Below are 13,079 nucleotides of genomic sequence, written 5' to 3' on the forward strand. Positions count from 1 at the left end.
TATTAGAATGGTTCCAGGCATTTTACAGGGGAAGCAACAGAATAAAAGAGCTGTATGGTCTTAAAGAATGAGAAAAAACATCCCCTGCCTCTCCCCTGTAACTGTATCATTTGATTTGAATTTTTTTATTGCTTCTAGAATTCTTCATAGAACAGTATCTGGAAAAGAATAGTACTATAGATAAGAAAACATATATTACGGTGGTAATTTTTTAACTACCTGTGTGACATTTTATTGGTCTGAATTTTACGTGCCTCATTTGAAAAGGGATAAAGCTGAACTATAACAATTTCTTTTGATCTTTTTGAGTCATGGACATTTTGAAAATTTGATTAAAGTTATATCTTCTCTCTATAAAAATGACTTGCACTTTGTATTTTACTTTTAATTTCAGGAATACAATGACACCCTGTAGCTCATTCATGAGTATGTCCTAGAGGTTCCTGCTAGTTAAATAATTTTAGATTCAGAGTCTAAAATTGCATACAATTCTAACATTTCCTGGTCTGCTATATTATCACTATTTGGATGTTTAGATATATTTTTGCTAGTATCTCTTTTTTCTAGTAATAACACAAGCAAAACTTCCCTGTTAAATAATTAAGCATTGATCAATTTTCTAATAATTTCACTGGAATAAGAGTGAAGAAATTCAGTCTACTTTTACATTGACTCCTTAAGTGTCTGGCACTGACTTTAACATAAAACAACACACAGTAATATATTTGAAAAAATCTGTTGCTGAAACATTCATGATAGTTTATCTTGATTAAAAGACTCACTGTATTATGTGTAATTTTAATCATTATATCTTTCTCTATTAATTTTTCCATATCCCTTTTAAAATGAGAGCACTGAATAAAATGTCTCCCTTCAACTGTAAGTTTTATGATAAATTGAACTTAAAATTTCAGAATCCCTCTCATGTACACATTTAATCAATGTAGTCTGGATCTTATTTATTCAGTTTAACCCCTCATTTTTAAAAAAATGTTCACTCTCCTATTTTCAATGACATCATGTTATTATATACTTATTACATAATCGGTTTATTTTATTCCTTTAGAGCTACTTATCCTCCTTTTGTTTCCCAATTTGACGCATTCCAAGAGCTCCGTTTTTGAGTATTGCTTCTTTTGGCCTTTTTCTTTCCCTTAGAGATTTTATTCATTCTCATTTTTGTTCCAACGTTCTACATTTATTTTGTCAGCCTTGTTTTTGTGCTTTACTTCTAGAACTAAGAACTCAGTAAACTGCCAAAATAAATAATCAAATATCCCTGTGGCTTAACACAGCAAACGTATATGTTTTGCTCTTCCTACATCCAATGTAAATTTGCTAAACATGCAACTCTCTAGGACGGCGCTTTTTAAAGAACTGAGATACAGGATATAGGTATTCCATTAAGTGGTTCCAACATCCTTCAAAAATATGGAGCTCTCCACAGACTCATTTCCACCTTTCCAGCCTTCAAGAGGAAAGAGGGAAAAAGAAAATTTAGGTAATAGACCAGGAAGAGAGATGCCTCATCTCTGCCCATATTTTATCAGCCAAAACTTGATCCCATGGTTTCATCTTTCTACAAGATGGTGGTTGTAGGCCAGAAAAGAATAGTTTAGCTTTGTGTATAGGATTGAAAAAATGACTTGGTGAGCACTTTGGAGACTCTGCATTGCAGTGCTTCATCATCCTTTAATTAAATCATTTCCTTCCCATATTGGTTGTCTCTGAATTAGTGCACCTCTTTTATTATTTTAATATGTTCTCAGCAACTGGCCTTCTCCATCCATTCTGCATTATGGCCAAACACTTCCTTTGGCTTCTCTCTGTTTGTTTCATACACACTAGTCTCCCTGGATAATTCCAAACTGGAAATATAGAGGAGCTCCTTGACTGAAAGACCTGTACCTCAATGACTGAAGTCCTCTGTAGTACTGAGCACATGTATGTGCTCTTCCATTACACTTTCATTTTCTTCAGTTTCAATCAGCCTTCTGGGTTTATCAAAGGCCTTGGTGAAGGACCATTTGATACCTTTGCCTAAATCTTAGAAGGGAAATGTGCCTTGATAAAAGAAGGGTCAAAATGAAGAAGAACATTGTATTATGGAAATTAGGGCTAATCTTAATCACTGGATCCTTTAAAGTACAGAAATACCTTCTTACAAGGTAATCAAAGGTAACTAATAAATAGAGATAGCTCTGTTCCTCAGTTCTGCATTTTAGCAACAACCATGCTGAACAAGATGGTTTTAATGTTCTTTTCAGCTTGACTAAATCTTGGACAGACTTCTTTCTGATTCTAAGACCCTAAACTCTCATTTCTTAAAGCATATAGTTTTGACAACATGTAATTGCAAGTTCTTCCTCTGCTTCTTTGAGATTTCAAGCTGTTTCAAAAGGACTGTCTTTTTCAAGGACCTGGGAGCCTTCCCTTTGAAATGTAATCATTAAGGAAGATAGAGCCCCCATCTCCCAGTCTCTATCTGAGCACAGAAGCCTAAATCTAAGTTGTAAATTTTCCTTCAGTCATAAAAAGAGAGTTTACATTCTGCAAATAATAAGCCATTATTCTAAGTGAATCAACGCAGTAACAGAAAGCCAGATACAGCATGTTCTTACATATAAGTGGGAGCTAAACACCAAATACATGTGGACATAAAGATGGAACCCTACAGACTACTAGAGGGAGGAAGGAGGAAGAGAGGAATGGGCTGAAAAATTACCTGTGGGGTACTATGCTCACCCGCTGGGTGATGAGATCATCAATACTAAAACCCAGCATCACACAATATACCCATCTAGCAAACCTGCACGTGTACCTGCTGAATCTAAAATAAAAGTTGAAATTATATTTCCTTTGAATGAGGCTAATTTGAAAACACACACGGCTTATAATCTACCACCCCAGCTCTTCAAAACTCTCCAGGCTTTTGCTGCAGCAGAGTTCAGTCCATACTGCCTTTTGTTTTATCTTCCCTGTTGCAATAGTCTTGAATAAAATCTTCCTTAGCGTTTTTATTTTGTCAGGTTTAATTTTTCCTTGAGACTATCTGGGGACTTTCCTAATTCTTGGTGCTTCAGACTTCCTGAATTCAGTTCAGACTGCCTTTTGTTTTCTTTCCTGTTGCAATAGTCTTTTGCAACAAGAAAGATAAATCTTCCTTATCTTTCTAACTATGTACCTTTTAATTTCCCTCGACACTACTTGGGGACTTTCCTAATTCTTTGCCCTTCAGACTTCCTGATTATATACTCTGCTCCTGCCTCTGCAGAAATAGTCTTTTCTTATTTTTTTTACCTTTCCAGAAACAGAACTTAAGTTCTCCCACCTTGTTTGCCTCCTCTTTCTGTGGCCCTTGTCTTTGTAAGACTCTGACCAATGGCTTCATTAACTTTAACTTCATATATTTTCTATTTTGGACTAAGTGTCCTTCCTGGCCTGCTGCTTCCACAGGTGATGGATTAGGTGCGTGGGTTCAGCTTCCTTATTGTAAGATCTTTTCTTTCCTTTCCCACATTTGTAGACACACTTGTTGCAAATATTCTTCTACTTAGCACATTTATCTTACCTGTTTTGTCCTATTTTCTTTAGATTCCTGAGCCTTTACTTAATATTTTCCTGAATTAAAAATGGAAATGTGCGTATCAACTATCAGAGATGCTGGAACATAAAAAGTAATAAAGTGAAGCTATTTGTGGGCTATTACTTCACTGAGTTGGATTCTTCTCTTATTCCCACTGAGTATTTCAGTGGATTTCTGAACTGAAGAATAAACTAATCCATAATTCATATGAACTAATGAATAAACTCATTCATAATTCATAACCTAATAAACTAATTCATAATTCCCATGATACATTGCAACAAGAAGAATTCCTTTCATCTTTTAACTTTTTGTGTTACCGCATTTACTACAGGTTTTCCATCTCCAGACATGCTTACTTTACAAGTTGCAATTTTTGAATGCAGGCAGAATAAGATATATTGATGAGGGGAAAAAAGAGGGAGCGAGATATCAAGATGGACTACAAAAAGTATTATATCCTCCCTACAAAATAAGTATCTCTGTTGTGGAAGAATAAGTACACAGTTTTAAGGTAGACTTTGAGTCTTTAAGACAAGTACTAAAATTTATGTTTTTTTTTTATTCAGTCCTGCTGATGGTCAGGTTTTCTCAGAAAACATAATGATGTAATGTATCAATCCAGATCCATTGATCAAGCTGAACTCTTTCATGATTATTTTTTGTTATGAAAAAAATGAATTATTCTGCACAGAGAGAGAATATTATAACAATCTTCCAAATATACATCATTCAAATGATAAACAGTCTTCTAAACTTGTTTGATATCTTTTTAATACCTTCTTTGTTTCCTCACATGTTTTTTTCTTTTGGTGATAAAATGTCTCAAAAATATCTCAGACTTTATGGCCTTCCACTTTTCATATGTAAATGTAATGTCATCATCATGCATAGCTAAAAATGTATAATAATTCCTTAATATCCAATCTATACAGTAAACTTTTGATAGAATTTAAGTTTTTTCAGAGGTTGGTGCAAGGTGATTTAAATCGAGATGTTTAGAGTTCTAATGAGGGCAATGTCTGTTTTGTTTGACAGCCGGGGTGAATCATTTTTTAGCATCCTCCTTGTCTATAGGACAACATTATTTTCTGGGCTATTAATAAGATGAAATAAGTGTGAATTATGGCAAAAAATTTGCAGGGTGAGAATTTTATGTTTCTGAATTTCATATATGTAGAATTATGAAAGAAAAATTCAAAAAAATATAAAATCTGAAAGGAAAATAATGGATAGTTTTTAATTGCAATATCTTTTTAAAAAGGAAAAATATATGATGTACGGATTTGTTATATTTATAAATATTACATTTTTTTTCAGCCTTAACTTATGTGAATTTATCAATCACTTTATCAAAGTTGATCTTCTTCATGTCCTATAGCTATTATAACCAGATTCATCCTTCTTCTTTCTCTCCTTGTTGGTGAAAGAATACTTATTATTAATTTTAGTTTTGAAAATGTTCTATTACACGAAGAAACAAGGAACACAAATTATTAACAAAAGTCTTCAATATAAAGATGAGTTTTGCAGAAGTTTATAAATATCCTATTTGAAATACATATTATAATGTTGTTTTCTTTCTTGCTCTTACAAAATTTCCCATAAAACATCTTCAACAGAAAATACACCATGAATTTTAATGATATTTATTAAAATATTGTTACTTTTTTGTCTTTTATAAAAATTGTAGAAACAGCTGAATAATAACAAATATTGGCATTATTAATTCATCAATTTAGAATGAGTATCCATTTATTAAAGAGAACAATCTAGGCAATAAACCATCCCACTTTTAAAAATCTTTGACTATATAAGATGAGCACCTTTTTCAGTTCTCTTGGTCTTCTTCTTAGCAACTTGATTCTACTTTTCTTTGGAAGGATCCATTCCCTTAATGTTGTGGCTGCACAATGTCCTACTCCACAGTTTCCATGTACTAATTTTCAAAGATTGATTTCAGCTTAGTGGTCCACTGTATATTTTTTTCAAGACTAATTCTGGCTACTTGCAAATATATTTGGCTTCTCATTAACCTCATTTAAATCTTTACATTAGGGGAAAAAGATAACTCATAAAAGAAAAATTGCATACAGTTCTTGCACACAGAATTATGCAATTATTTTGGGGTTAAAGATACAAGATGAATTTAAGGAAGGTCAAACAATTATGAATTCTTACAAATTTCCTCTCAAGATGAAAATGTGTAGGTGAATCTCCTTGCATTCGGGGTTGACTATATAACTAGGGATTCTTTGAATTAAATTTCCCATAGAATATAATGTTGATTAAATGATAAGTAATACAAACTTCCAAGTTGTAACTGACAGATGTATTATTAAAACAACATTAATCACAGCAATTGTTTATAACTTAGGCTAACAAATATATCTTCTGATATGTTTTAGCATTGTCAGCTAGTATGAAAATAAGAAACAGACATTTAGTCAGTTTCATTATTGTTTTAAATTTCTCCACATAAAATATACCCCCTTATTGCCTATACCCAGAGTAGACTACTAGTATTCTACTACCTCCTACTAATCTACTCTTGGCATACAATCGGATGAGGGTCCATAAGCCTTCCCTTGGTTTTACTGTGAGAAACTAGGAAAGACTGAATTAGGACGGCTAGTGGGTGTCTCATCAGCTCTTGTAAAACTTCCTGTTGCTGTCTTGAATCTCTCCTGCATTAAGTCCACTTCTTACACTGAACCTAGACTTTGAAAAACACAAATCTGTTCACAAATCTTCTAGTCACTTCCCTCTGCCTGGAGCAAAAAGTTTTGAACTCCTTAGCACAGTATCTCCCCTGACTTCTCAACTCCTTACACTAAATCTCCACTTACTCCCTCCCCTACCAAGCACAATCCTTCCGTCTGCCAGAACCCACCAAGTTCATTCATATCGATGAGTCTTTGCATGGGCTGCTGGCTTTCATTTACTAAGAAACTTCCTAATTTTGTGGCAGGGCTAAGAAAATTATTTTTCAAATTTAAGACTCAGAAAAGACTCCTATTTGAGGAAATTCTTGATTCATATCACATAGAATACTTTTATCTGGGTCCACAAATTTAGAATCATTTCCTATTCTGCTTTAAATCTTTAGTATGAAGAATATGTATACCACATGTGCAAGAAATGCTTTTTGTTTCAAAAAATATGAAATGGGATTCTGTTCAAGCAAAACACATTTAGATTTTTTGAGGGTATTCTTTTTTTTTTATTATACTTGAAGTTTTAGGGTACATGTGGACAATGTGCAGGTTTGTTACATATGTATACATGTGCCATGTTGGTGTGCTGCACCTATTAACTGGTCATTTAACATTAGGTATATCTCCTAATGCTATCCCTCCCCCCACCCCACAACAGGCCCCATGGAATACTATGCAGCCATAAAAAATGATGAGTTCATGTCCTTTGCAGGGACATGGATGAAGCTGGAAACCATCACTCTCAGCAAACTATCGCAAGGACAAAAAACCAAACACCGCATGTTCTCACTCATAGGTGGGATTTGAACAATGAGAACACATGGACACAGGAAGGGGAACATCAAACACATTTAGATTTGTATAAAAACTTTCAGAGGTTATTTCAACATGAAAATCAGTAACATCAAAAATGACTTTAGAAATGTTTTAAATATATAAGACTCACCTACTATCTTGAAAAGCTTATTTGCTATATTCTGGCTGTGCTAAATAACAGTATTCCTTCCAATTTTCTGTATCTCCCTATATTTTTATTCATTTTTATTGCCTGTTTCTTATCATTTTCTATGTATCTGTGTTTACAGGTATATAAATAATGAGTTCCTAGAAAGGAGAAATATTCCTTTTCTTTTTGAGTAAAATAATAAAATATTTAGAGATGACGTGATCTAACCTATGAGATTTGCTTTAAAATAATATGCTAGAGCATAAGTGGATGAGGGTATAAATGAAACAAGATTAATTTTGTGTTGACATTTATCAAAGCTGTGTGAGAGATCCGTGGGGATCCATTATATAATTTTGCACATGATTAAAATTTTTCATAATACAAAGTTTTTTTAAAAAAATAAAATGGGTGTATATGTGTGGATGTATGCATGCATACATCACAAATTATGGGAAATTTACATAATATAAAGGTAATACACACACACATACACATACGAAGAGAGAGAGAAAAAAAGAGAGAAAGAAAGTGCACAAGTGCAGTTTTGTGCCTAGAATTATGCTCATGACTGCAAAATTCATCATGGCTAGTACAGTGTCAATGAACAAAATCTTAGAAATCTTCAAAAATGGAGATATATACATCTTCACTACTATTTTACTTTTGTCCTCAAAACCTGTATGTTTAACTAAATCCAGGTTTAGAAAAAGAGCTTAGTCCTAAGTAGGGTGGAATTGATACAATGTGAATGAGTATATAACTTAATCTACATTCAGTATAAAGTATTTTAAAGACCCCTAATGTGCACAGTGTACTTTTGCTATGTGCTGAGTTCATAGTTGATGTCACAAGATGATAGGCTGGAAACCCAAGGAGTTCACAGAATGGTGGCACTGAAGGCATTTGCAGTCCTCCTGTCGCTTTCTCCAGAAAATATTTTCAGCATTTGCTAGTCCAACCTTGTGTGTATCTCCATCATTGTAGTGTCCTCATTGTGTTAGAGTTGTATTATGAGTTTGGTACAAAAGTAGTTGTGGTTTTTGCCATTGAAAGTAATGGAAAAACCTCAAGTACTTTTGCAACAACCTAATGTAATTAAATAGTTCACCAGAACGTAAAGTCCTTGAAGATAGGGATAATAAATTACATCATTTCCACCTTTGTTGCCAAGAGTCTAGTGCATAGTATATTTGCACCAAGATGATTGAATCTATCTATCTATCTATCTATCTATCTATCTATCTATCTATCTATATGCACACACACATATGTATAGATACATACACATATACATATATATACATATATCTATATAAGTATATATAGATATGATGTACCTTAATTTTTTACCTTACACTTTAGAGATTAGAAAGAATATGTTCAATTGCCTACACCTTCTGTGATTTAAAAATTCAAAATTTTATCACCTATAAACTAGTTATAAATTTTATTGTAACAGCAATTATTATACTTTCTTAAGTATAACATTTAATTGTTAATTACAGAATATAGAAATTACAGGAAAGAGCATAATAAGGTACTCAAAAGTCAAAAAGGATATATATTATACCAACTTGTGTATATATATAAGTTTATGCAACAGGGAGAAATATATGTATATATGTATATTTCTCCTTTATGCAACAGGGAGAAATATGTGTGTGTATATATATACACATATATATGTAAATATATTTCTCCCTGTTGCATAAACTGTTTGCTTTTTTCTAAAAGCTCCTAACACATGAGATTTTAACCTGTAGATAAAACATGTTTCATGTTTCATTTTGATATTGAGCTGATATTTAATGTTTACTTTCAATGTTTTGAGTGTAAACTCTTAAGTACAATATACTACTTCTTTATTTTCAGCAAATCAACTATTACAATTATTCGTTGAATTTAAAAAATCATGTTTTCTATGTATCTTGTAGTTTTAAATACTTTATAAATCATGGGCTTTCCTGATAATTTGTTAAAAACTCTTAATCTTTTTCTCATCGGTTAAGAGAAATGAACATAGATACAATATTTAGTGTGCATTGTCATGATATTCACACACATACTGCAATTCATTAATTGAAAGTCTTTGGAAATGAAGGTAAGGAAAGAACTTAAGTTCCTAAACCAAAACATCTTCAACTTAACTCTAGGTAAATAGTATTAACTAAATTATTTCTTTATTACCACTTTATTATTTCAACGATACAGGTAACAGTATTAAATAGTATTCAACAATTCTTAATTTATTCTGAATGTACACCATAACAGGTATCATTATGTAGTGTTTCCTATATTCTGATAGCTATTGAATTATTATTTTATTATACATTCTTGTAAGTATACGTGTAGACATGAAAATAAACATGCACGACCTATATGACATGCTATGTTCAGTGATGACAGCTGTCTTCCCATTTTTTTGATGTGTTAAATGCAAGAGGTTTATTTCTTTTTAAAAAGTTGTTGTGGGTACATAGTAGACATATATACTTATGGAGTTCATGAGATATTTTGATACAGGAATGGAATTCATAATAATCACGTTATGAAAGATGGGTTATCCATCTTGTCAATATCTATTCTTTGTGTTACACACAATTCAGTTATACTGTTTTAGTTATTTTGAAATGTACAATTAAATTTTTACTGACTATAGGCACCCTATTGTGCTATCAAACACTAGGCCATATTCATTCATTTGGACTATTTTTTGTACCTGTTACTAAGCCTTTTTCCAACTCCCCACTACCTTTCTCAGCCTCTGGTAGCCATCCTTCTACTCTCTATCTGCATGTGTTCAGTTGTTTGGATTTTTAGATCCCATAAATACATAAGAACATATGACGTTTGTCTTTTTGTGCCAGGCTTATATTACTTAACATAATGACCTACAATTCCTTCTATGGTGTTGGAAATGACAAGGCCTCATTCTTTTATATGACTGAATAGCACATCATGTCTATACATACCACAGTTTCTTTTTCTATTTTTTTTTGTTTGTTTGTTTGTTTTGCTGAGATGGAGTCTTGCTCTGTTCCACTAGCTGGAGTGCAATGGCACAATCTTTGCTCACTGCGGACTCCGTCTCTGGGTTCAAGCAATTATCCCTGCCTCAGCCTCCTGAGTAGCTGGGATTACAGGTGCCCACCACCACGCCTGGCTAATTTTTGTATTTTTTAGTAGAAACAGGGTTTTGCCATGTTAGCCAGGCTGGTCTTGAACTCCTGTCCTCAGGTGATCCACCTTCATTGGCCTCCCAAATGCTGGGATTATAGGTGTGAGCCACTGTGCCCGCCCATGTACCACAGTTTTTTTTTTTTTTCCCTTCATCTGTTGATGGACACTGAGGCAGCTTCCAAGATTTGGCTTTTGTAAACAAAGCTGCAACAAGCATGGGGTTGGACATATCTCTTGCATATGTTGGTCTCCTTTCTTTTGGGTATTGTATTCAATTGGGTACTGACTTACAGTCCCATGTGGCTGGGGAGGCCTCACAATCATGGTGGAAGGCAAGGAGGAGCAAGTCACGTCTTACATGAATGGTGGCAGGCAAAGAGAGAGAGCTTGTTCAGAGGAACTCCTTTGTATAAAACCATCAGATCTTGTGAGACTTATTCAGAATGCTGAGACCCACACAAGAAAGACTCACCCCTGTGATTCAATTACCTCCGACTGAGTCCCACCCATGACGTGGGAATTGTGGGAGTTACAATTCATCAAGAGATTTGGGTGGGGGCATAGCCAAACCATATCATTCTGCTCCTCATCTCTCTCAAATCTCATGTCCCCACATTTCAAAACCAATCATGCCTTCCCAACAGTCTGGCAAAGTCTTCACTCACTTCAGCATTAACCCAAAAGTCCACAGTCCAAAGTCTTATCTGAGACAAGGCATGTCCCTTCCACATATGAGCCTGTGAAATCAAAAGCAAGCTAGTTACTTCCTAGATACAATTGGGGTACAGGTATTGGGTAAATACAGCGATTCCAAATGCGAGAAATTGGCCAAAACAAAAGGGCTACAGGGTCCATGCAACTCCAAAATCCAGCTGGGTAGTCAAATCTTAAAGGTCCAAAATAATCTCCTTTGACTCCATGTCTCACATCAAGGTCATGCTGATGCAAGAGGTGGGTTCCTATAGTATTGGGCAGCACTGACTCTGTGACTTTTCAGGGTACAGCTTCCCACCTGGGTGTTTTCATGGGCTGGTATTGAGTGTCTGTGGCTTTTCCAGGCACACAGTGCAAGCTGTCAGTGGATCTATCATTCTGGGGTCTGGAGGACAGTGGCCTTCTCTCACAGCTCCACTAGGCAGTGCCCCAGTGGGGACTCTATGTGGGAGCTTCAACCCTGCATTTCCCTTCCACACTGCCCTAGAAGAGGTTCTCCATGAAGGACTCACCCCTGCAGCAAACTTCTTCCTGGGCATCCAGGCATTTCCATATATCCTCTGAAATCTAAGTGGGGGTTCCCAAACATCAATTCTTGACTTCTGTACACCTGCAGGTTCAACACCATGTGGAAGCTGCCAAGACTTGAGGCTTGCACCCTCTGAAGCCACGGCCTGAGCTTTACTTTGGCCCCGTTTAGTCACGGCTGGAGTGGCTGGGACTCATGCCACCAAGTTCCTAGGCTGCACACAGCACTGGGACACTGGGCCAGCCCAGAAAACCATATTTTTGTCCTAGGCCTCTGGACCTGTGATGAGAAGGGCTGCAGTAAAGACCTCTCTGACATGCCCTGGAGACATTTTCCCCATTGTCTTGGGGATTGTCATTGCAGCCAGCTTAAATTTCTCCTTAGAAAATGGGATTTTCTTTTCTATCGCATTGTCCAGCTGCAAATTTTCTGAACTGTTATGCTCTGCTTCCCTTATAAAACTGAATGCTTTAACAGCACTGAAGTCACCTCTTGAAAGCTTTGCTGCTTAGAAATTTCTTCTGCCAGATATCCTAAATCATTCTCTCAAGTTCAAAGTTTCACAAATCTCTGGGGCAGGGGCAAAATGCTGCCAGACTCTTTGCTAAAACATAACAAGAGTCACCTTTGATACAGTTCCTAACAAGTTTTTCATCTCTATCTGAGACCACCACAGATTTAATCTTATTGTTCATATCATGATCAACATTTTTGTCAAAGCCATTCAACAAGTCTCTAGGAAGTTCCAAACTTTCCCACGTTTTCCGGTCTTCTTCTGTGTCCTCCAAACTGTTCCAATCTCTGCCTGTTACCCAGTTCCAAAGTCACTTACACATTTTGGGTGCCCCACTCTACTGGTACCAATTTACTGTATTAGTCAGTTTTCATGCTGCTGATAAAGACATACCAGAGACTGGGAAGAAAAAAAGGTTTAATGGACTTACAGTTCCACGTGGCTGGGGAGACCTCACAATCAGGTGGAAGGCAAGGAGGAGCAAGTCACGTCTTACATGGATGGCGGCAGGCAAAGAGAGAGAACTTGTGCAGGGGAACTCCTCTTTACAAAACCATCAGATCTCATGAGACTTATTCACTATCACAAGAACAGCATGAGAAAGACCTTCCCCCATCATTCAATTACCTCCATCTGGGTCCCTCCCAGACATGTGGAAATTGTGGGAGTTACAATTCAAGATGAGATTTGGGTGGGGACATAGCCAAACTATATCAGGTATATAATCAGCAGGGGATTGCTGGATCATATGGTAGTGGAACCTCCAAACATTTCTCCATAGTGATTGCACTAACTTGCATTCCTACCAACAATGTACAAGAGGGTTCTCTTTTATCCACATCCTTGCCAGCATTAGTTATTGCCTTTTTGATAAAAGCCACTTCAACTGA

General features: G+C 35.4%; 1 long non-coding RNA gene across 1 annotated transcript in view; it reads left to right on the forward strand.

Annotated features, from left to right (window-relative positions):
* LINC01425 (long intergenic non-protein coding RNA 1425) overlaps positions 1-13,079 on the forward strand; it is a 50,431-nt gene that overhangs the window by 19,333 nt on the left and 18,019 nt on the right. The gene's annotated exons all lie outside the window — the stretch shown is intronic.

Source organism: Homo sapiens, chromosome 21 (assembly GCF_000001405.40).
Source record: "Homo sapiens chromosome 21, GRCh38.p14 Primary Assembly".
NCBI lineage: Eukaryota > Metazoa > Chordata > Mammalia > Primates > Hominidae > Homo > Homo sapiens.